Raw genomic sequence first — 25989 nt, 5'->3', positions numbered from 1 at the left:
ATGATGGCTGTGGGTACAGTTTCCAAACTGCTCAGAAGCCATTTTTTTTTGTATTTTTTTTTTAATTATACTTTAAGTTCTAGGGTACATGTACACAACATGCAGGTTTGTTACATATGTATACATGTGCCATGTTGGTTTGCTGCACCCATTAACCCATCATTTACATTAGGTATTTCTCTTAATGCTATCCCTCCCCCACCCCGCCACCCCATGACAGGCCCCGGTGTTTGATGTTCCCCGCCCTGTGTCCAAGGGTTCTCATCATTGTTCAATTCGCACCTATGAGTGAGAACATGCGGTGTTTGGTTTTCTGTCCTTGCAACAGTTTGCTCAGAATGATGGTTTCAAGCTTCATCCATGTCGCTACAAAGGACACGAATGCATCCTTTTTTAAGGCTGCATAGTATTCCATGGTGTATATGTGCCACATTTTCTCAATCCAGTCTGTCACTGATGGACATTTGGGTTGGTTCCAAGTCTTTGCTATTGTGAATAGTGCAACAGTAAATATACGTGTGCATGTGTCTTCATAGTAGTATGATTTGTAATCCTTTGGGGATATACCCAGTAATGGGATCACTGGGTCAAATGGTATTTCTATTTCTAGAGCCTTCAGGAATCGCCACACTGTCTTCCACAATGGTTGAACTAGTTTACACGCCCACCAACAGTGTAAAAGTGTCCCTATTTCTCCACATCCTCTCCAGCACCTGTTGTTTCCTGACTTTTTAATGATCGCCATTCTAACTGGTGTGAGATGGTATCTCATTGTGGTTTTGATTTGCATTTCTCTGATGACCAGAGATGATGAGCATTTTTTCATGTGTCTGTTGGCTGCATAAATGTCTTCTTTTGAAAAGTGTCTGTTCATATCATTTGCCCACTTTTTGATGGGGTTGTTTGATTTTTTTCTTGTAAATTTGTTTAAGTTCTTTGTAGATTCTGGATATTAGCCCTTTGTCAGATGGGTAGATTGCAAACATTTTCTCCCATTCTGTAGGGTGCCTGTTCACTCTGATGGTAGTTTCTTTTGCTGTGCAGAAGCTCTTTATTTAGATCCCATTTATCTATTTTGGCTTTTGTTGCCATTGCTTTTGGTATTTTAGTCATGAAGTCCTTGCCCATGCCTATGTCCTGAATGGTAGTGCCTAGGTTGTCTTCTAGGGTTTTTATGGTTTTAGGTCTAACATTTAAGTCTTTAATCCATCTTGAATTAAGTTTTGTATAAGGTGTAAGGAAGGTGTCCAGTTTCAGCTTTCTACACATGGCTAGCCAGTTTTCCCAGCACCATTTATTAAATAGGGAATCCTTTCCCCCATTTCTTGTTTTTGTCAGGTTTGTCAAAGATCAGATGGTTGTAGGTGTGCGGTGTTATTTCTGAGGCCTCTGTTCTGTTCCATTGGTCTATATCTCTGTTTTGGTACCAGTGCCATGCTGTTTTGGTTACTGTAGCCTTGTAGTAGAGTTTGAAGTCAGGTAGTGTGATGCCTCCAGCTTTGTTCTTTGTGCTTACGATTGTCTTGGCAATGCGGGCTCTTTTTTGGTTCCATATGAACTTTAAAGTAGATTTTTCCAATTCTGTGAAGAAAGTCAGTGGTAGCTTGATGGGAATGGCATTGAATCTATAAATTACCTTGGGCAGTATGGCCATTTTCATGATATTGATTCTTCCTATCCATGAGCATGGAATGTTCTTCCGTTTGTGTCCTCTTCTATTTCGTTGAGCAGTGGTTTGTAGTTCTCCTTGAAGAGGTCCTTCACATCCCTTGTAAGTTGCACTCCTAGGTATTTTATTCTCTTTGTAGCAATTGTGAATGGGAATTCAGTCATGATTTGGCTCTCTGTCTGTTATTGGTGTATAAGAATGCTTGTGATTTTTGCACCTTGATTTTGTATCCTGAGACTTTGCTGAAGTTGCTTATCAGCTTAAGGAGATTTTGGGCTGAGATGATGGGGTTTTCTAAATATACAATCATGTCATCTGCAAACAGGGACAATTTGACTTCCTCTTTTCCTAATTGAATACCCTTTATTTCCTTCTCTTGCCTGATTGCCCTGGCCAGAACTTCCAACACTATGTTGAATAGGAGTGGTGAGAGAGGGCATCCCTGTCTTGTGCAACTTTTCAAAGGGAATGCTTCCGGTTTTTGCCCATTCAGTATGATATTGGCTGTGGGTTTGTCATAAATAGCTCTGATTATTTTGAGATACGTTCCATCAATACCTAGTTTATTGAGAGTTTTTAGCACGAAAGGCTGTTGAATTTTGTCAAAGGCCTTTTCTGCATCTATTGAGATAATCACATGGTTTTTGTCTTTGGTTCTGTTTATGTGACGGATTATGTTTATTGATTTTCGTATGTTGAACCAGCATTGCATCGAAGGGATGAAGCCCACTTGATCGTGGTGGATACTCTTTTTGATGTGCTGCTGGATTCAGTTCGCCAGTATTTCATTGAGGATTTTCGCATTGATGTTCATCAGGGATATTGGTCTAAAGTTTTTTTTTGTTGTGTCTCTACCAGGCTTTGGTATCAGGATGATGCTGGCCTCATAAAATGAGTTAGGGAAGATTCCCTCTTTTTCTGTTGATTGGAATAGTTTCAGAAGGAATGGTACCAGCTTCTCCTTGTACCTCTGGCAGAATTTGGCTGTGAATCCGTCTGGTCCTGGAGTTTTTTTGGTTGACAGTCTTTTAATGATTGCCTCAATTTCAGAGCCTGTTATTGGTCTATTCAGCGATTCAACTTCTTCCTGGTTTAGTCTTGGGAAGGTGTATGTGTCCAGGAATTTATCCATTTCTTCTAGATTTTCTAGTTTATTTGCATAGAGGTGTTTATGGTATTCTCTGATGGTAGTTTGTATTTCTGTGGGATCGGTGGTGATCTCCCCTTTATCATTTTTTATTGCGTCTATTTGATTCTTCTCTCTTCTTTTTTATTAGTCTTGCTAGCGGTCTATCAATTTTGTTGATCTTTTCAAAAAACCAGCTCCTGGATTCACTGATTTTTTGAAAAGTTTTCTGTGTCTCTATCTCCTTCAGTTCTGCTCTGATCTTAGTTATTTCTTGCCTTCTGCTAGCTTTTGGATGTGTTTGCTCTTGCTTCTCTAGTTCTTTTGTGATATTTGGGTGTCAATTTTAGATCTTTCCTGCTTTCTCTTGTGGGCATTTAGTGCTATAAATTTCCCTCTACACACTGTTTTAAATGTGTCCCAGAGATTGCGGTAGGTTGTGTCTTTGTTCTCATTGGTTTCAAAGAACGTATTTATTTCTGCCTTCATTTCGTTATTTACCCAGTAGTCATTCAGGAGCAGGTTGTTCAGTTTCCATGTAGTTGTGTGGTTTTGAGTGGCAGAAACCATCTCTTTAGACATACTTTCTAGAACCTTACACAGGCACAGTCTGGTGAGGCTACCTTCTTTTATTCTAGAACATTGGAAACATTTTTGGCTTTCTAATGCCCCTCTCCATCTCCTTAATTCCTCAAAAAAGAAAAAAAAATTTACAAATATTTGGCCATCTGGTTTACTATCTGAGCATCCATTTATTCAAGCTATGAATTTTGGACATATTTAGAGCATTTTTTTTTTTTTAAACAGAGTCCCACTCCGTCGCCCAGGGTGGAGTGCAGTGGAGTGATCTCGGCTCACTGCAACCTCTGCCTCCCAGGTTCAAGGGATTCTTATGCCTCAGCCTCCTGAGTAGCTGAGACTATAGGCGCATGTCACCACAACTAATTTTTTGTATTTTCAGTAGAGACGGGGTTTCATCATGTTGGCCAGGCTGGTCTCAAACTCCTGACCTCAGGTGATCCACCCACCTCAGCCTCCCAAAGTGGTGGGATTACAGGCGTGAGCCACCATGCCTGGCCTAGAGCAGTTCTAATTTCCTTTAAAGACTCAGCACCTGTTCCAGGGCTATGGATGAGCCACATGTTTGGAAATTTTTGTGTGCAGAGCACGTTTTCTGGGAGGGCGCTCTTGCCACATTCTCAAAGGAAAGCATGAACCATAGATCTATTCTTCTTTTCCATTATAAGAATATGCTCTGCAAACAGGAGACTAGCAGCAAGACAGGAGAGGAGCAGCAACGTGTCCCTCCTTGTCAGCGCCTCTGGTGTGCAGCTGTAAGGCTGTTCCTGCTGGTCTTCCTTTCTTCCCTGACTGGAGTTTCTTTCAGGGAGGAGTAGGAAGGTGACTTCCACCTGTCTGCTAGTTTAGCTACCCTGAAATTATGATGGGAGGTCTGTCCTCTCTTTCACATGTTGTCTTGGCTGTAGACTCTGCTTAATTTTGTTTCTTGGAGAACCCTCTTTTGGGGGGCCTCTCCTCTCAGCTCCTTCCTTTCCATGCAATAAGGAGCACCTGAGATGCACAGTCCAGGCCAGCTCCCCAGTGCTCTCTCTTCCAGAGCTCACCCTTAGGACACTACCTTGTTTTATGAAGCTTCCTCTTTATCAAGTAGGGGTGACCTGCCTGGCTGCCCAGTCTCCCTCTCTGGCCACCATGACCTGATAGGGCTGCTTTACCCATAGCGATCCATCACTGCCATTTTCTCCTTGGTGAGAATTATCAAAAGAAGTAACCCTAACTGAAATGAAATTATCAGCCAGGCCAGACGAGACTCACTGCAAATCCCATTTCCAGCACATAGTCAGTACATCTCTCTCACCTCTGAGCCACCTTTGCCATCTGTGCCAGAAGCATGTCAACCACATCCTGACGGGGTCAGGGGTCTTGCTGCATTCTCCCACACCACTGCTGCTCAATCCTCTTCCTTCACCCTCATGTGGCCAGAGTACTGCCACCCTCAGGCTCCTGGCTGTCCTTCCACACAGGGGAATCTCTCTTTGACACATGGTGCTGCTACACCGCCCTTCATGGCAGGTCTGCTACTTCTGAATGGGACATACCCTTCCACCGATGCATTATAAGCATGAGTCCTAGCCCACCAACTGTGGTGACACCTAAGACATCATATTGATCACTCTATGTTATAATCTCAAATTCATTTTGTTTTGCTTTGTACACCTACATACAAATATCTGGGTCCTCACCTGAGGCTTTCAACTCCCTCTTTAAGAGTTTTGGGAAATAAATTCCTGGGGAGCTCTCATACTATGACCTGATTCTCATTCAATAAATCCCTGGGGGCCTTATGACCTGATTCTCATTCAAGGTAAAACCCTAATGATCAGGTCCCCAGGTTTCATCCTATCTTTAGGGCATTCATTCACTCTGAGGTGGGACATATTTCACCCAGAGACCAAAGTGTGTGCTCATTATTTCAGGGGCTTTTCATAATCATGAAAATGAACCCTCAGAAGAAAGGTGGCCACTTCTCACTGTGATAGTGTTCATGGTTTCTGAGCATGGTCGTCTGCATATCAGTATGCTAAATACTGGTGTGTATATATGTATTTTCTTTGGGCTGTGTGTGTGTGTGCGTGTATACATTTTTTTTTTTTTTGAGATGGAGTTTCGCTTTTGTTGCCCAGGCTGGAGTGCAATGGTGTGATTCTCGGGTTACCACAACCTCCGTCTCCTGGGTTCAAGCGATTCTCCTGCCTCAGCCTCCCGAGTAGCTGTGATTACAGGCATGCGCCACTACGCCCGGCTGATTTTATATTTTTAGTAGAGACGGGGTTTCTCCATGTTGGTGAGGCTGGTCTCGAACTCCCGACCTCAGGTCATCCGCCCGCCTCAGCCTCTTAAAGTGCTGGGATTACAGGCACGAGCCACTGCGCCTGGCAAGTATTGGTTTATATTAAAACAGTTCTAAATATTTATTCATAAGGTTAGGCAATTTATATAAGGGAATGTAACCTACAAACGCTTGCTCTCATTGTAAAAGACTCCTGCTTTATTCATAGATTGTAAACAGCATAGAACCTTGTAACTCAAAACAAGAATCTGCACGTTGTACAGTGCTGTCACATCATGTATGTATTTAATTTATACAAATATACACCAAGGGAGGAAAGGTAGATGGGGGAGCGGGGAAGATACATTATGATTTGAATAGTGTGGGTGATTCTGTCCACGCTCTACATTTAATCGACATGATCCAGTGTGAGCAGAGATGGGAGAGGTGAATCCACTGTTTCCTCGGGCCTGTCCACAATGTGAGTATCTCTGTCCTGAATGTGGTCCTAATATTTCATGAAGTGTATATTCCAAATTAACATAAACCTGAACAGAAGCCAACTACTTCATCTGGTGCTTAACCAAAGAAACTGCTACACAATGTTTCAAACACAGGAGAAAACCTGGTTGTTACATATGCTGTACAGTATACCATACTTAATTATAATTTAACAGCAAAGTAGAATTTTGACCACACAGGACTTTTGTCTTTTAGATAGACTTTAGAATCTAACTTTTCCACCCTTTTAAAGCTGTGACTTTACTGCATATACCTCTATCACACAAACATATACAAAATGTATCTTTCTCTTCCCACTAGAGGGCAGCCACGTGTAGATTTAGGAGGGCAATGAAGGTTTAGAAAAACAGCACACCTCTGACTTTCAAGGATATTTAGAATTCTACAGTTTTTGTTACCTTGAATGTGGCAAATGCATCTGAAGCTATGTCAAATGTTGACATTTCGACATATCTGAAGAAATCATAAAACTGTTCCGACCACAAAATGATTTTTGCAAGTGGTTCATGTCTGATGCATTCTCTTAACATTATTCCACAATTTAGAGCTATTTCTGGAGATTCATACCTGCAAAAACAAAAAACCAAACAAACAAACCAAACATGATTGCTTTTTCAAAACTCCAACACTGAACAGTTCAAACTTTCAGGCCAAAGACAGTTTTCAGACATGTATCCTAACTAAATGACCATCGCAGATTACAGAAGGTATTTCAGTCGGAGCAGAGCATGTGCTCAGGTAAACTGACTCCAGAGTGCAAACACACACTGGTTGGTGATGACCGCCTTAAACCAAAGAAAAATAGCCATACGAGTGACTGTGTGACTAAAGGTTCATTATTTAAGCTGAAAGATTTCAAGAGAAGTATTTCGGGTCATACCACTCCATACAGGGGTTAGCTTTTACAGATGGTGCTCTTGACACTCAGAAAAACCAAAAGCTAAATCAAAAAACAGAAAACAAAATATTTCCCCAAATTCAGAATATCTAAATAGGTCTACAAACATATAGAATTTATACCTTGTTGTTTCAATTCAATACTCAAGATAGTACTTGGAGACTCTCAGCCACATGTAAACACTACCAAGCTGATAAGCCTCCTCCTGAGGACTTCACAAAGTGTCCCCATCAGAGAGCCCAGGGGCCACAGAGCAGGCAGACCCCCCTCATCAGCTCTCTGCACACAGCCTTCCCTATGCTCATCTCCATGTCTCTGGCTTCTTCCTTCCCCGCCATTAGAGAGACACCTCTCAGCCAAGCAAGAGGCATTTCCCCTTCAGATGTGCACAAGCCCTCTGACTGGACTCTTCCGCCCCCTCAAACACATCGCTCTCTTCTACTTCCTCTCAAGCTGCATGCACTGGCTTTCTTTCCACCTCACATTCTCCTCTAGTCATATTCCATTTCCCAACACACTAGTGAAATAACGGGCCAGCAAAGATTCCCTCTTGGCTAAATAGAGTCTTCTACTCAAGTGTCCTGACAGTGCTGTAAAAAACCAAAATAAAACCTTTCATGTTCTCCTTTCTATCTCTCTGACTGTTCCCATTTCTTGCCTGGCTGAGGTCTTCACCTGTTGCCTACAGCCTGCTAATGAAAGCCCATACAATCTCATGGCTCCCACCATGACTACTAACCCCACCTCCATGTCTACTCCTGAATTAGTTAGGCATTTTCTGTTGCCTCTGGACAACTTCCGTTAAAGGGCTACCATAAACTCAACGTGTCTCAAATCAAATCTCATCCCCCTCCATAAAATCACCCCCACCCCCCTGCTTCCTCATTTCTATAATTTGGCATCATTATTTTGTTTCAGTTACCCAGTTCTAAACCAGGTCTAACAGAAATTTCCATGTTCTGTATCTGTGCTGTTCATTATGGTGAGATTGGCCACATATAGCTACTGAGCACCTGAAATTTGTCTAGTGTGACTGTGGGGTTGAATCATAAATATTATTTAATTTCAATTAATTACATGTGGTTAGTAGCTACTATATTGGACAGCCCAGTTCTAAACCTTTCCTTCTTTACTCCAAATCTTCCCAACTTCAATGTCAGGCTTCAAAAGCCTTCAAAGGCTTTTAAAAATATTTTTCTGATTATCTTAGTTTCATTTCCTTTTATTCATTCCCACTGCTACATTAATTCATACCTGGACAATTGGAAATGATTCCTAGCCAGCACCTTTGTTCAAGCTCTGTCATAATAAATCTACCCAACACACAAGTGTATCAACAGCATTTCCAGCTTGGGAGCTTAAAATGATTTCTTCTAGCTAATCAAATAAAGACAAACTTCTGGACTTAACTATCCAGTCTTCCTCTTATTAGATCTCCTGTTCTAGCACAATGTCACCTCCCAACCTGCCACACAACTTTCAAATTCTCTCCTTATTGCTGCCAATCATGTTATGTTCATTCCTGCCCCTGTACCTTTGTTCCCAGTCATATGCCATTAGGATGCCTTCTCTCTTTTCTGCCTGTGTAAATTCTAAACTACTAGGAACTCCCATCTTAAGTCCTATTCCTTTTATCAACCCTTGCCTTATTAACCCAAACCACATTTTATCCTCTGAAATCCTGTAGTACTCATTTGTTATCTAGTAGTGGTGTCCTCTTACACATCACAGATCCTCAACAAGATAAAACCACACTCCTTGGCATCAGTGGAGGCATGCAGCTAGAATGCTGACCGGCTCTTACTTGATGGAAATATCTGCTCACAAAATGGCTGATCATACAATTCATCTTTGCTGAGCTTTAGAAGGCAGGAAAGACAAGGGTAAGACAGTTTGGTACAAGTTGAACAGGTTTTGATGGAGGCTTGTCAAGCTTGTCTAAACGATTAAACCATAAACCAGTAAATACAAGGCAAACAGTTATGCTGTATAACCTGTGAGCACTAGAGTGAACAGCATACTAACATGTAAATTGCCAGTAAAAAAAAAATCGCCTCCAAATGTAGTCTAACACTAGCAATACGACTTCAAATGCATGCTAGTATTAGCAGCATGGCCCCGCAAATAAATATCTAACAGAAGTACTCACAGCCTAAGAAGATAATCACACTGTATGGAAGCAGTCTAAATTAATTAACAAAAGTACAAAAATCTTAAAATGCAGTTCACAGCGCTCCTTCAAGAAACAGCTGTTTCCAGGTCTGGCAGGACTCGTACAAAATGAGCAAGATGGTCATCCTACGCCAGAAAGCAAGGAAGCAATCACAGACTGATGGGGTCTTGCCAAAACAACACAGAAGGCAACTTGAAGGAGTTCCCAAGGGCCAAAGATGGGGCAACTTGGACACAAGAAAGTAATGACTGGAATGGATTGAGACATATCAAATATAATTTTTAAAAAGACAAAAACGTGAGTTTATAATGATCCTTAAAACAACTCAATACTTATCTAAGGAAGTGGCCAGGTCATCAACTGATTATACTAAAAAAAAAATACCTGATTATACTAAAAAATGAGACTATTTTGGGATAACTAAGTCATCAAGGAAGAAGGGTTCTTCTTTATAGAAACAATTTAATTATATGAAGAAGAAATAACAGAATCAGGAAACTGCCATTCTGAATCTAGGCAATGATTCTCAATGGAAACTAAAACCAGGAGGTGAAAGGTCAATGAGAATTTTGTAATGGACAGATTACAGACTGAGGACACCTGCATCCACCGGTCAATCCGAACATCACCAGAAATGGGATAACCAGTGCCACCCAATATGAAGCACACAGCACCATCCATGAACTTTTGCCCCCCTCAAAGTGAATCCGAATCTAATAAAAAAAAGCCAGATCTAACTATCTACCAGTTAAATCACTAGCAGATAGTGGAACATGTTACAGAAGCAACAGGAATGCCAAGTCTAAAATATATGATTTTTCTACAAAACAAACAATCCAGGCTTCAACAAAGAGATGGCATAATATTAACTATTATAGATTAAAAGAGAGCTCAGAGTATTAACCAAATTCAGTTTGTGGGCCTTGTTTGGAACTTTTTTTTTTTTTTGGAAATCAAGTCTTGCTCTGTCACCCAGGCTAAAGTGCAGTGGCGCAATCTCGGCTCACTGCAACCTCCATCTCCTGGGTTCAAGCTATTCTTGTGCCTCAGCCTCCCGAATAGCTGGGATTACAGGTGTGTGCCACCACACCCGGCTAATTTTTGTATTTTTAGTAGAGGCGGGGTTTCACCATATTGCCCAGGCTGGTCTCAAACTCCTGGACTCAAGTGATCCACCCGCCTTGGCCTCCCAAATGCTGGTATTACAGGCGTGAGCCACCATGTCCAGCCTGGAAGTAATATTAAATAAACGAACTGTAAAATGCCATTTTTGTGAAAATTGAGGAAATCTGTAGATTGGGCATTAGACATTAGGTTTGCAAATGGTAACGTAACTGTGTTATACTGTGTTTTGTAATGCGTACTAGGGATGCATACTGAGTGATGTCATGTGTCAGAGGAAAAAGGGGGCAAGGACTAGAGGAACAAGAATGACAGAACATTCGTAACTGTTGAAGCTGGGTTTAGGGTAGGAACCGGTATGTTACATATTCCCTCTAGTTGTACGTATATTTTTCACAACAAAGGAGGTGGGCGGGGCTTCCGGTGGGCCCACCAGTTGCATTCTCCATGCTACTTCCTGGCTGGAAGTGTCTGCTCTGGCCAGCACAGGTGAGAGCTCTAAACTGTAAATTGTATCTCAAAAGTCTTTCTTGACATGCCATTTAACAACATTCATATCATGCCTCTGATTACTCTGAAGTGAAAAATGTCAGCAGAGTTAACTAATGTATTGATTTTAATAATCCTTGGTTTCTATGGAAAAGGAAATATGGGCTTTAAAAACACACAAAGGCACCTGAAAGCTGCTCTAAGATCACCACAATTTCACACTGCTCACTACATGTTTTTACATACAACTCTGAATTGATACAACACAAAATTAGATGCCAAAAGTTCTGTATCCCAAAATCTGAAGAAGTAACACAGATGGTTAGAAATAGAAAGAGGGAAACAGAACGCTGGCGTGCAACACAGGCACTGACTCACACTTTGTCTAAACAAGCTTGAACTTGGGGGAAGTGTTAAACCGCAGAGACGTGAATCAGACTGAGGCAAGCTATAAAGCCAGGAGGAGTAGAGCAAGCTGATTCACACCAACAGTCATGCCAGGAACATGCCTGCCCACCAACTTAATAGAACAGACCACCACCAATGTTGGGACAAACAGATGCACACCATACCCGGGGCTGGCACACAACTCTGGTGTGAAACAGCAGGAGGTTACCTTGCCAGTCAATGAGGCTCAGGGATGAGGGAGAAGGGCATTTGGTTCTATGGTTCGGTTTTCAGGCTTTTTTAAACTGACAAGACTACCCAAACATTAATGCCTGCTTAGACCAGTAGTAATTTCAGGAAGATGCACTGTGAATTACCAAATTATATGGATTAGTAAGTGGACACAGAGAGGTAAAAATCAAAGGACACTACTTCATAAACATGTACTTTGCTGACTCAACAAAGTAAAGCTGTAGAGAATCCATGCTCCATTTAAGAGGCAGCTTTTACTGCCTTACAGCGTGCGTATTATGTCCAAAGGAGATGTCTTTCAATATATAACTTAACTGATACTTCAATGAAATTCAACTTTTTTAAATCCTAGAGAACAGAAATAAGACCACAGAGAATTATTATTTTTTCCTTCAGTCATGCTGGATTTGTGAATTTAAAAGCTCAGAATTCACCTAATTTTAAATTCCCACCTGTAGGGCATTTTCAAATTCAATTTAGCTCACAAGTTGAATTTCAAGGAGGGAAATGTGTTCAAAATCTATGGAAAAATTATCTAACTACAGAGAAAATGCTTCCCACATTCAGCATCCTGTTTTTTTTCCCAAGGCAATCCTTCCTTTATGTTCAACTGAGAATACAAATTTTATTACATTGTACATACCCTTTCAATAACATGAACAAAATATTCTGTTGGGTGCAGATGTATTCAACAGTAGGAGTTCTCGTACCAATTTGTCTTCTGAGAATATTGTTGAAAATTTGAGCCACGTCTTTTTTGCCCTATTAGGAATACAATCATTAACACATTTTCCTGACCAAACATCAAAATGCTCATTCACCCTCCCAAATGAACTCGAATAAGGCCATTGTACTTATTGTTATGACTGAATATCTGACTTTAACACATTCATAGACATTAAATTATCTCTTCATTTGTAATTCCAAATTGTAAGTTTACTAGTGTACTATTTTTAACATGAACAATGTGTTGACAAAAACAACAATGGGTTGACTATATTCCACATATAATTTCCACCATTTCTAAGTCTCAGGATCACGCTGACTCTGATATGAGAAACAAAACCCTGCAATATGTTAACAATCTAAGGGATCTGAATTCCACCCAAATGGAACAAGCAGCTTCAAATAAGATGCTTACATTGGGAACACTATATGTGCTTTCCTTTCATAGTGATGGAAGGAGAGGAAAATATACTCTGCTGCTATATTAAAAATGGAATAATTCTGTATGAAGCTGGGCTTTAATGGAAAGTAGACCTATCTTCCAATTAAACTAGGCCTGTTTAGGGAAGACTTTATATAGATTAATAATGAAGGTACTAAGTATCACATGATACAGTAGTTCAGAGATCAGAACTTCATTACACTACTGTACAAAACAGACGGATCTTTCCAGTGAATCTTACAATCGGAAAGCTGCACAAGAAATCAACAAATGGAGAACTGGACTCCAAGTGGCATTTCTGAACAGCCACTTGTTACAAGGCTAACAAGCCCATAGGAGAGGGAGTGAAATGCTAGCTTTCCAGGGTATACCTAAACCACAGACAGAGAGATCATCCTGGGCCCCGCACTAGCTCAGGAGCAGAAATGGCAATCTCTAAGAACCAGCCTTAAGGGCACACTTTTCTTTTAAGTTGATGTCTTTGAAGTTCCACATAAATATTAAATTCAGTGTCCAGGTCGGGTGGAGGCAGACAAAGGAGAAGGAACCTAGATGTTCCACTACATCCCCAACTTTGCAGAGGAAATACAAATTGTTGCTGTTGGAATTTGATACATTATTAAAAATACATGAAATCAGCTATGAAATGAAAACATTGCAGTTCTATCTGCTCTACAGTAGGACAGAAATAAAATTTTACTTTATTTTATTAACAGTATTATACTCAACTTATGAACCATACCCTCTCATCCTTTTCCAAAATTTAATCTGGCTATACGTCTGTCATTTTCTCCTCTGGAACATGTACCTGTCTTTCAAGCACCTGTACAGACATCCACTCACTCAGGCTGACAAACACTGGGGCTTAAAACAAAGCACACTGATGACAAAGAGTTAAAGAGGCATGGCCATGCCACAGCGCTTCATTAGCTTCATTACCATATATGCATCGCAAATATTCAGATGGTATCCAGGATCATTATTCTCACTGTTAAATCCACTAAATATTTAACATAGCATGATCCAACTGTATTAACTCGGGCAACAATGTCAAATGCCTACCAGGGCTGGGCAGGAGATGCAAATGGGCCCTGAGACAGGAGGAGCAAGCTGTGCCACCTACAGCAAACCCAGGTGTAGACGCCCTGTGATGCTACTCTGCTCTAGCTGAAGGGCCAAGCAGGACTATATACCCAATATTGCTAGAATCAAGTTTTTCAAGAGAAGCCAGAAATTCAGACCGTGTATAAATGTCCTGTCACTTAAATGTTACACTAATTTAAAATTTAAAAGCAGTGCTAAGCAAACAAAACACATATGGTCTCTGGTTGTAATGAATTAACAGGTAACGAAGACATAACTGGATGTTCTCTTAAGATTGTATCTTCCTCTGAAATTCTAACATTCTATAGCTGTCTTTAGATTGTTTATTCCTTGAAAGTCAAGGGCCAGTGAATTATTAGAGTACTAGAGTGCTCTAATGAGCAGTTGTTTTTTAAAACAACCTAAATGAAATGGCATAATGAATATCTAAGAAACTCCATGTCCAATGTGATGAAACAGGGAAGAACCCTGTCCCAAGCCTGAAACACCCCTGGGTTCCTGCCTTTGCTCTGCTAATCAGGCAGGCAGCCCAGGCATGCTGACAGAGGTCAGTAACCCTGAGCCAAGAGCCCAAAAGGAATCTTACAATGTTCCAAAAGAGAGAACGTATGGAAAAGAATTATGCACAGGGTACTGTTTTTTAAAAATAAGAAATTGATTTCTTACCTCAAAGTCAATGAGCTGTAAATCAGCTACCAGGGTGCTAAGGAGCCCACTATTATAGAGTTCTTGAGCAAGTTGAGCTACTGCTTCTGTCTGAGGCTCTTTTTCATTTGTGCCATACAGAATTTCTTTCATGGCAACCAGATTTTTGGAAACTTCTTCTGTAGCCTAATTTTAGAGAGAGGAGTTGGGAAGAGGAGAAAAAACAATTCATTTTAACAAACATATAACACGTCAAAATTTGTCAAATCACCTCTCTATATTACAGACCCATGGACCTATGAACAAGAAGCAAAGTGGGCAAGCTCCATCCTTGCCCTCAGGAGCTGGGCGCTATGTCTGCGTGCACATGGGGACCAACATGCATACACCACAGGAAGGCCAGCATGTGCACAACACAGACACCCAAACACTGAAAACCATGTTTATCTATGGCAGAAACAAAACAGGGAGAAAGGTTCACTTCCTCAAGTGGGAGGGAAACATCACCAAAGAGGCAACTGGGCTGATCCCTAAGAATGAAGAGATTCTGACAAGCAAGTATGGAGGATAAGGAATGGCATGAGCTAGGGATGAGGGAGAAGGGAAAGTACAAGTCTTATCACAGAAAAGGTGTGGAGGAAATAAGGGAAGAGAGCAGAAAATGGGTGAGTGCAAAGCTAAGGTGTTAGTGATAGATATAAAGTCACTAAAGAGCTTCTACTTCTGCTCAAGATAGAGAAGGGCCAGATTTACCTTTCCCCATGAAAAAGACTAATGAGTAGGATAAGATACATAAAACGACATTTTTTTTTTTTGAGACAGGGTCTCGTGCTGTCGCCCAGGCCTGGAGTGCAGTGGTGAGATCACAGCTCACTGCCGACTCAACTTCCTGGACTTAATCGATCCTCCTGGGTAGCTAAGATCCTCCTTAGCCTCCTGGGTAGCTGGGTTTCCCACAGGTGTGTGCCACCATGCCAGGCCGATTTTTGTATTTTTAGTAGAGATGGGGTTTTGCCATCTTGCTCAGGCTGGTCTCAAACTCCTGGGCTCAAGCGATCTGCCCAACTTGTGCTGGGATTACAGGTGTGAGCCACCGTGCCTGGCCAAAACAATGACTTTGAAACAGTGGACTTCAGGCAGTACAGGACAGTGATCCCTGAGAGAAGGAAACAAATGAGGGAAACTTCATAATTACCCTACCTTCTTGCTAGGCCACAGCACCAGGACGGGGGAGCCAGCCAGAAGAGGTGTTCTCCATTAGTTGAAGAGGCAGACCTGGCAACCCAGGGAGGCCAAGAAGACTAGAGTTTACAACAGGGCAGAGTGGCAGAGAGGAAAGAGCTGCCCAGAAAGAGCATGGCAGAGACCTGCAGAGCCCACTCATGTCTTCAACTGAGTACTGATAACCACACATGGGTAAGGAAAGTAGCCAAGGCTAGGAACCAGAACCTTGGAGCTCACATGGGGCTGGAAATAGCTCCTGTTTCCTACCAGCCTAATGGAAAACCTCATATTCACTAGTCATCAAGCAAAGTACTCAGGGGGTTTTGCCTCAGTAGGCATACAAAATTAATCCTAGGCCAAACTCTGATCTGGTCCTGCCCAACAAAGCTTAACAGCAATCCTGGAAAGGACCAAAACCGGAAAACACGACTAATAAGAAGAAGAACTAATCAACAGAAACAGCTGTGGAAATGGCACAGATGGCAGAATTACTCAACAAGGACATTAAAATACTCAATAAGGACATTAAAATAGTTACTACAACTACAAATAGTTATCTATCACTAACATGTACCATGTTAAGTAGAGGAATGAAAGGCATAAAAAAACACCTGAATGAAACACTTAGAAATAAAACTACAAGGTCTAAGATAAAAATTATACCAGATGGGATTAACAGCAGATTAGATAGTAGATAAGAATAGGTTAGTAAACACAAAGAGAGAGCCTAAAAACTATCTAAAATGAAACTTAGGGGGGAAAAAGGGACATCTCATTAGTGAGCTAGGGGATAACTTTAAGCAACCTCACAGATGTGTAACTGCAGCCCCCAAAAGAGGTGGAAGGGCAGACAAACTATTTGAAGACATAATGGACGAATGTTTTCCAAATTTAATAAAAATTGTAATTCCATAGAGCCAAAACATTGAAAAATCCCAAGCATGAGAAACAAGAAGACAATACCAAGGCACAGAATAATCAAATTGCTTAAATTCAGTGATAAAGAATCTTAAAAGTAGCCAGAGGGAAAAAATACTATGGACAAAGAATCAAAGAATGACAACAGACTTCTTGACAGGAATGATGCAAGTCAAAAGATAGTGGAGGAACATTGTTAAAATACTGAAAAACACAACCAAATTGTCATTCTAAAATTTTACACCACAGCAAAAATACCTTTGAAAAACAAAGGCGGAATAGAGTTTTTGAGACACAGAAAAGTAGAAATATTTCATCACCAGAAGACTTGTACTTCGTGAAATATTTAAGGAAGTCCTACTGGCTGAAGAAAAATGATTCTTCACAAAGAAATGAAAAGCAATGAAGACAGTATTAAACAAAATTTTCCCTTTTATTTAAAAGAGAATTGGCTCTTTAAAGCAAAAATAACAACGTATTCTGGGGTTATAACATATGTAGAACAAAAAATACGGCAACAATAGCTCAAAGAGGTGTAATGGAGGTACACAGGTATAATGTTGTCAGGTTCTTATAATAACTGAAGTAGTATATTTCCTGAAGATAGACTATAGTAAGTTAAAGGTGTATACTATAAGCCCTAAAGCAACCACTTAAAAAAAAAAAAAACCGAAAAACAAAATCAAAGATTTATAGCTAATAAACCAACAAAGGAGACCCAAGTAGAGTATTAAAGAGACATAACATAAAGGCTATAAAAACTTATATAAAGTGAAGCATTTATGATCAGAAATATACTTCAAGATTACTTTGCACAGATTCACAAAACCTCAGCGTTAAGCAGTACTTAGAGGATCATATAGTCTCATGGTATTCAGTTATGTAACCTTCTAAGCTTCCTATCAAATCACATGACTTTACCTTAAATATTTCCAGTGTCCAGTAATGCAGGATGAGCTGAATTCAGAATCAGATAGTTGTTAGACAAATTTACGAGACAAACATTGCTTCACTACACTGTCTACTGGCCCTGGGTTTGTACTGCAGATCAGGCAATATTTTAACTTCTCTTCCACATAAATCTCTTGAGGGCAGCCTGCCTATCTTCCCTAAATTGTCATCTTCTCCAGAAAACCTCCCCTCAGGTTCTTTGATTAACCTCCTAAGAAAGGCAGAGCTAACATTCAGCCCTATCCAGAATGGTACAATGCAGAAGACACCAGACCACCACTCCTCCATTACAAATGTTAGTGCAGCCCAAGGCTACCTTCTAAGAATTTTTGCAATTATATTGTATAATTGAGTCAGAGAGAGCTTACAGTGAACAAAATGTCTTTGGCTTTCACAGGTACTGCTTGGTAAAGACAGGTCTTTCCAAATGTTATTCTTAAACTGGGGCGAATGACACTGCAATGAAGACTTCAATTTTTCTATTTAATTTAATCTCATCAGCCCATCATTCAAGATTATGGCAGTAACTCTGGATTCTGATGGACATCCAATGTATTAGCTAAACGCTCTCACATACATATGAAAATCTCATATGTATGTCTCCCATGACCTGCCTCAATCATTGACTAAAATGCTGGAAAGGAATGACGCATGAATAGAGCCCATCATATCTTTGAATCATCATGCTCCTTTCAGTAATGATCTACTACAAATCTTGGAGCAGGGCTGCTCAGTCATGTATATATGCAACTATTTCCAAGTTATATTCCAAAGGTTTTTTTGGTCAAATACCTTGATAAAATTAAATTATACTATTTCTTCCCTATTTCCTGACCATGAGAAAATGCAGTTATTTGGTCTGACCTTTTTACTACACCTACACTAATATCTACTGACTATGACATTCTTTTCTAAATGCTTGTAAGTCATCCTCCTAATAATCCCCCTCAGTATCAATGCTAAGCCGAGTCTACCTTTTCCAGCCTGCTGTTACTACACTTCATTATCGGTAATGCCTTGGAGATCTGATGGTAGTTCATCATCCCATATGCAAATTCAGTAACCCAGAATGTAATTTTTCTGGGCCAAGAGAAAATCATTTAGCAATAGTAGGTGTTCTCTTACAATCTATCTGCATGTATTGGGTTTTCTACTCCATTTTACTATCTCTATTCTTCAGATAATTCTCTTTGACAGGAAGAATCTGATACCTAATAGGTTTTGTGAATGCATTATCTATTGATTCTACACCAGTGACCATAAGTAGGAGGCCTCAGCCTCCTTTGCTTCTCTGGTTAGATCAAAGTTTTAAAGCTCTTAACAATTCTTCATGTACCTCAGTTTATACTTTATTATATGATTTTCAAATTTGAATTCAGACCATATTCTATTCTGACAGCAAAAGATGAGTAAGAAAGAAGGGAGGTGAATAACTAAAGGGTACAGGTTTGTGAGGTGACAAAATGTCCTAAAATTAACTGTGGTTATGGTTACACATATTTGTGAATAAATTAAAAACCACTGAATTGTACCCTTCAAATGGGTGAACTATACGGCATGTAAATTATATCTCAATAAAGCTGTTCCCCCCATCCCCACCCCACCCCCCAAAAAAAGGAAGGAAAGAGAGAGACAGGAACATAATTAGAAAGCTATTTATGGCTGGGTGTGGTGGCTCACGCCTGTGATCCTAGCACTCTGGGAGGCTGCAGCAGATAGATCACTTGAGCCTAGGAGTTTGAGACCAGCCTGGGCAACATGGTGAGACTCCATCTCTTTTTTTTTTTTTTTTTTTTTTTTTGAGACAGAGTCTTGCTCTGTCACCCAGGCTGGAGTGCAGTGGCGCAATCTTGGCTCACTGCAAGTTCCACCTCCCGGGTTCATGCCATTCTCCTGCCTCAGCCTCCCCAGTAGCTGGGACTACAGGCACCCGCCACAACACCCGGCTAATTTTTTGTACTTTTAGTAGAGACGGGGTTTCACCGTGTTAGCCAGGATGGTCTCGCTCTCCTGACCTTGTGATCCGCCTGCCTCGGCCTCCCAAAGTGCTGGGATTACAGGTGTGAGCCACCGCGCCCGGCCAAGACTCCATCTCTTAAAAAAAAAACACAAAAGTTAGCTGAGTGTGGTGGCATGCACCTATAGTCTCAGCTACTCAGGAAGCTGAGGCTGAGATCAGGAGGTTGAGGCTGCAGTGAGCTATGATTGCACCACTGCACTCCAGCTTGGGTGACAGAGCAAGACCCTGTCTCAAAAAAAAGAGAGAGAAAGCTATTTGTTGTACTTCTGAATTGAATGGCATTGTGGACTCTGTATAAAGCCCCCTTCTCTTTCAGAAGGAATTCCCTCACCAGCTGATACTGCACCCGCCACCTACATTAATCCTCATCTGCTTTTGGATCTCCCCACCCCCATGCGTTCTTAGGAACTCACCCTGCCTGTTACCTCACCTCCTCCTCACAGAGTCAATCTCCCCTCACCTAATTTCTTCCTATCAGTTTTAAACCTGATTAAGACTCCATTTGACAAAATCGAATAGGCCCTCCTTAGATTCCACAACCGCCCCCTGCCCCCCTGCCCCCCTGCCCACGCGCCCCTGCCCAGCTACTACCCACACCTCATAATTAAACCTCTCAAAACATTTGCCTGTATTTACCATAGTCCAAGTCTTTTTCCTCACTCACTCTTCAGCCCAATCCTTTTGGCTAGTCACTGACCTGCATGTCATTAAATACAATTGTGTGTCTTTATTACTGTGAGAAATGGGGAAGTTCTTTTTCAAAGATTATGAAAAGTCACAATTTCTTACTATAAGATTGCTGTGCACTATTAGTGTGTATATGTATGTATTCCAAATCAGCTCTCCTAGCTTGCTCCAGCATGCCTGGACAGAATTAGGCACACCGGAGCCCACAGTGCATGCCATTCCTTATTTGGAGATGCTTCCTTAACTAGTCCTGGACAACTTCCTTTTCTTTGTTCTGTTCCCCTTACCTATTTAAGAAAGTTTTAAACTAATAGCCAATAGGATAAAGTGTAAAATGTGAGGTCCTATCCCAGCCAATGGAAACTGGACACAGCAGTAGGGTAAACACGTCAGGTTATAAATAACTCTGTCTCCTTTGTTCGGTGTGCTCTCGTGGCCAGACAACTATTGAGTAGCACCCTTTCTGCAGAAAGTAAAGCTCTCTCTGCTGAGAGATCATTTCTTCCCGCGTTAATTCTTTTTTTCTCTTTTTCCCGACACCAAAAACTTCATTCCCAACAATTACACCTGAACTTTCCACAGGATTCGGAATTGCTGATTACACCCGCCTCTGAAAACCATTCTTCTGGTCCTCCGTGACTCACCACCATCCTTATTTTCCCTCCTAACTCTCTGGTTGCTCCTTCTCTGTCTCCTTTTTGCCTCATTCACCTTGGCTAGGCCATTTAAACACAGGGAATCCCGCAAGGCAGGGTACTAGGGCTTCCTCTTCTTATTCTCTAGACTCTTAAGTGATCTCATCCACACCCACTGCTTTAATTAACAGTTAAATGCAGATGCCTCATAGATTCCTATCTCTAATCCAGTTCTTTTCTCCCAGGCCTTATCAGTACCACTGGGCAGCCTTCTCAAAATGTCTCCACTCGTAATGTCTCAAGGTACCTCAAATCGAATACATCTAAAATAGAACTCAAGATCTCGCCCTAGTGCCTGATATCCTGCCTTGTTCCGTTTCATGTAATGATACCACTGATGATGTTACTACACGTCAGAAATTTAGGAGTCATCTTCAACTCTCCCCTCTTCACCTCGCCCCAATAGCTAACTCATCACTGACTCCCAAATCCATCCATTTATCCCCGTCTACCATCACCACCCAAATCAAAGTTCCCATAACTCTTGCCTAGATTAATATATCGTGTACTGACTGGTTTCTTTGGATTGCAGGGGGCCTAATGGGGATGCATTCTCCACATCACACCTAGAATTATCTTTTCATAACATAAATATGACTAAGACATTGCTGTTGCTTAAAATGCTTCATACATTATTGATGAATGGCTGAAAATCAGCATTCCTGATCACAGGGTTTAAAATTCAGATTACAAATGGATGTAGAGAAATGTGATGTTATCATACCATGAAGTCAAGGGATTCCTTAAAAGTGTTTAATTGAGGCAGGCCACAGTGGCTCATGCCTGTAATCCCAGCACTTTGGGAGGCCAAGGCAGATGGATGGCTTGAGCTCAGGAGTTCGAGACCAGCCTGAAAAACATGGTGAGAGACCCTATCTCTCCTAAAAATACAAAAAATTAGCTGGGCATAGTGGTGCATGCCTATGGTCCCAGCTACTTGGGAGGCTGAGGTGGGAGGATTGCTTGAGCCTGGGGGGTGGGGGTGGGGAGTGGTGCAGAGGTTGAACTGAGCCGAGATGGTGCCACTGCACTTCATCCACTGCCTGGATGGCAGAGCGAGAGCAAGACCCTGTCTCAAAACAAACAAAACAAAACAAAACAAAACAAAACAAAACAAAACTAGACAAGAACAGACTTCCCTCTAAGAACGGGCAACGAAATAAATCACCTGAGATGTGAAAAAATAACTGCAGTTCAAAGGAAGGGAGCCAGCTAAAGAATTACAAGCAGATGTCTTCCTAACAAAGAGTTACAGCACTGAACAAGGAAAGAGACTGGCTGAGTGATTCAATGCTGGCCATTTCACTTAATGAGCATATGTCCAGAGCTTGGGTCTCAGTGTGCACACACAGCTCATAGTGTGGACAAGTCCCCAAGCTGAGCCCAATGAAAGCCAACTACTGCATCTGGTGCTCCACTAAAGAAAGAGCAGTCTGGGCCGGGCGCAGTGGCTCACGCCTGTAATCCCAACACCTTGGAGGCCGAGGCGGGCGAATCACGAGGTCAGGAGATCGAGACCATCCTGGCTAACATGGTGAAACCCCGTCTCTACTAAAAACAAAAACAAAAACAAAAACAAAAAATTAGCCAGGCGTGGTGGTCAGCGCCTGTAGTGCCAGCTACTCAGGAGGCTGAGGCAGGAGAATGGCGTGAACCCAGGAGGCGGAGCTTGCAGTGAGCCACCACTGCACTCCAGCCTGGGCGACAGAGAGGGAGACTCCCTTCTTCTCAAAAAAAAAAAAAAAAAAAGAAAGAAAGAAAGAAAGAAAGAAACAGCAGTCTGTTTCAATGTTGGAGGAAATACTTGCGGTGTTGGAAATCTTGAGTCACAGTACGGCCACACTGTTTACTGCTCTGTATGGACAATTAAAGGGTTTTCAAAGGTTAAGTTTGGTTGTGATTTGCCTTGTGCTCAATTTACAACGTAATTCCCTATGGTCTCACAGAGAAAATACTCTGGGAGAATACACATCAAACTCAGTATGGTCGTCTACCTGTGGGGTGGAGTAAGAAGAGTATTTGCTCCATTTCAGACTTGCTTGAATATTTTTTCTCACAATTCACATTCTACTTTTATTTAAAAAAGAAAAAAAAAGATGAGGTAAATTATATAGATCAAAATGATCATTATGTTGGTACTCATTGATTTCTTCTTCCATTTCTCCTTTTTCAGCCCTCCCCACGAGACATCCCCCCTCCCACATTTTAAAGATTTCTAACAAATAACCAAATAACCATGGACAATTATAAGCTGATTAAACAAAAAGCTTGAAAAATATATCCAAATATTACCAAAAGATGATCAGAAAATTTTAATAAGTGTTTCACAAGAGAAGGCAATTTAGCAAGTATTTACTAACTGAAGATGACACACACACAACAGATAAACTTGGTTGTGGCCGGGAGTGGTGGCTCATGCCTGTAATCCTAGCACTTTCAGAGGCCGAGCCGGGCGGACCACCTGAGGTCAGGAGTTCGAGACCAACCTGGCCAACTTGGTGAAACCCCGTCTCTACTAAAAAATGCAAAAATTAGCTGGGTGCAGTGGCATGAGCCTGTAGCCCTGGCTACTTGGGAGGCTGAGTCACGAGACTATCTTGAACCTTGGAGACAGAGGTTGCAGTGAGCCGAGATTGAGCCACTGCACTCCAGCCTGGGTGACAGAGCGAGACTGTGTTTCAAGAAGGAAAAAAACAAAACAAAACACAAAACCTTGGTTGTTCTTGTTTAGTTTTGACTTGGTTCCCTTCATAGCAGCTTGCATTAGGGACTATGCCTAGGGCCCCACCTCTGGCCTGCAGGCATTGTGTCAATATATTCTCTGCCCTTGTAACCACATCCTTCTCATCTCCTACCACCCCATTGGTCCCCTCACACCTACTGAGTAAGGTATTCACACTTACAGCTCCTCCAAACACTGTATCCTTTTCAAGCTGCTGAATCATCATGTCACCTAATCCACTGAACCCTTAATGACCACATTCCAGGTCCTGCCAAGCCTGCACATTTCAGTGCCACTCATGCGAGCAGCTCAAGGTCTCTTGGCTCCCCTACATAATCTTAAATGTGCTTTATTCAAATCTTTCTCTACTTGAGCTCCCAAATTTCTGAGCACTGTAGAAAAAGTGATGGAACTTGTGCACATTCGGTTCACCAATACACCATGTCATTCGACTTCAAAGCAGCTCAGAAACAATCCTTTAAACCGGGCTGATTTCCAACCAGTAACTCCCAGCAGCACATATTTCAAGACGGCTCCACTTTCCTCAAGAGCCATTAGTCTCTCTTTACTCCTTTATCTGAACATCTAGCTTCACTCCTCCTATATTAACATAAGACTTTCTAATTAAAACATTCTCAACTTCTTCACTACATCTTGATGTATTTCTGCATCCTATCTCAAACTTGTCAACACACTCAGAATCACCTGAGAAACTTTTAGAAGAGATGCTCAGTTCCCCCGAGATAATTTTTTTTTTTTTGAGATCAGGTCCAGCTCTGTTGCCCAGGTGGAATGCCGTGGTGCAATTATGTCTCACTGCAGCCTTGACCTCCCAGGCTCAAGTGATCCTCCCACCTCAGCCTCCCGAGTAGCTGGGACTACAGGTACACACCACCATGTCTGACCACGTTTTAAATTTTCTGTAGCAATGGGGTCTCATTATGTTGGTCAGGCTGGTCTCAAACTCCTGAGCTCGAGTTATCAGCCCCCTCAGCCTCTCAAAGTGTTGGGATTACAGGCATGAGCCACTGAGCCTGGCTCCAAGATACTTATTAATGACAAAAGGAAAAATAGTAATTTTCCAGTAGACACCACCTTAACCAAATGATGTTACTGACCATCATCAGTAATGAGACTATTGACATCACTGCCTCCTGAACTGATGCAATGAAAAGGGTACTTCACTTCTGTGGTATTCTTGCAAATGCATAATCGACATTGAATCATGAAGAAACATCAGGCAAACCTAAATCAAGGGACACTCTATAAAATAGCTGACTAGTATTTCTCAGAAGTACCAAGGGTCATAAAAGTCATAAGAAAGACTGAGGAACTGTTTCAGATTAAAGGAGACCTAGGGAGATGTTACGACTCCTTACATGTAACGTGTGATCCTGAATTAGATTTTGGTTCAGAAAAAGGACATGAGTAGGACAACTGATGAAACTTGAAAAAGGCCTGTGCATTAGTTAATAGTATTATACCAATGTTATTTTTTGGATTTTGATCATTGCCCTGTGGTTATAAAAGACGTTAACATTTAGGGAGGCTGGGTGAAAGGCACTCTTCTAAACCATTCTGTAAGTCTGATAAGTTCATCAATAATCTTTTTGCCTTTTCTTCACAGGTAAGGGGCATCCTACTTAGTTCCAAGGCTGATGGCTCTCTCTGTGCACTGGAGAAAGGGCTCCCAAACAAAAAGGAGGTTAGCTTTGACTCAGGTACCCCCTGTGCAATTGTGCCAGTTCTGTGGCCTCATGGAAACCTGTTGGGTCTTACTGGACCATCCGATAATTAAGGGAACTGGACCAGATGACCCCTAAGACCCATTCCATTTCTTTAAGATCTCAAACTCCAAATAAAGGTCTTCAATTCTCTTTTGCCCTGTCATCTACATTCCTTCTCTCACCCTGGACATCTCTGTCTCTACTCAAGCTAACATAAAAGCCTGAATGCTCACACTCCTTCTTTCCACTCTTAAGAGCTCCTGCATCCAGGAAGACTCTCCTCCCTCCCATGACTCTCTCCTCCTCTGATGCCTACAGCAGCTGTGACCTTATTTCAGTTGCTGACCTTGTAAGTGCTATAACCTTTCACACATACCTCTCATCTCCCTAACACATTCAAGGGCTTTGGAAAGCGCTTATGATGGCAATTTACACATGGAATGACCTGATGATTTTGTTAACTGACTGAATTGTCTGGGAAGTTTCCTCAGTTGAACATGGTGTTCCAAGACACAGATGCTACATTTCTATGTACCAGTTAGCCTCATATTACTTTTCATGGGCAGACTGCTTTATTAAAAGTAGCCAACTGTTTTATAGATCATGGTCAAGAAGAAAGGCATAAGAGAACAGCCCCCC

The 25989-nt window shown here is 41.5% G+C and overlaps 1 protein-coding gene across 5 annotated transcripts in view, besides 2 other annotated features; it reads right to left on the bottom strand.

Annotated features, from left to right (window-relative positions):
- CAB39 (calcium binding protein 39) overlaps positions 1-25989 on the bottom strand; it is a 108234-nt gene that overhangs the window by 15612 nt on the left and 66633 nt on the right. For all 5 annotated transcript variants that reach the window (XR_007076406.1, XR_007076407.1, NM_016289.4 and 2 more), the window contains exons 3-5: positions 14428-14592; positions 12133-12251; positions 6567-6735 (exon numbers count right to left, since the gene is read on the bottom strand). Coding sequence is in view for 3 of the 5 variants with exons in the window: in NM_016289.4 (NP_057373.1) it covers positions 6567-6735; positions 12133-12251; positions 14428-14592 (453 nt within the window). In the remaining 2 variants the exon portion in view is untranslated. The remainder of the gene's footprint in view (positions 1-6566; positions 6736-12132; positions 12252-14427; positions 14593-25989) is intronic.
- Positions 10989-12188: an enhancer, noted in NCBI's record as "P300/CBP strongly-dependent group 1 enhancer chr2:231657991-231659190 (GRCh37/hg19 assembly coordinates)". NCBI's record gives its function as "activates an origin of replication core promoter dependent on BRD2, BRD4, P300/CBP, MED14 and CDK7 cofactors, with strong dependence on P300/CBP, by STARR-seq in HCT116 cells {active_cell/tissue: HCT116}" and the evidence as "EXISTENCE:reporter gene assay evidence [ECO:0000049][PMID:35650434]".
- Positions 15015-15514: an enhancer, noted in NCBI's record as "H3K27ac hESC enhancer chr2:231654665-231655164 (GRCh37/hg19 assembly coordinates)". NCBI's record gives its function as "activates a minimal SCP1, AML or CMV promoter by ChIP-STARR-seq in naive H9 embryonic stem cells {active_cell/tissue: H9 hESC(naive)}" and the evidence as "EXISTENCE:reporter gene assay evidence [ECO:0000049][PMID:30033119]".

Source organism: Homo sapiens, chromosome 2 (assembly GCF_000001405.40).
Source record: "Homo sapiens chromosome 2, GRCh38.p14 Primary Assembly".
In the NCBI taxonomy this organism is placed as follows: Eukaryota; Metazoa; Chordata; class Mammalia; order Primates; family Hominidae; genus Homo; species Homo sapiens.
This window is presented reverse-complemented; position numbering and strand designations above follow the sequence as displayed.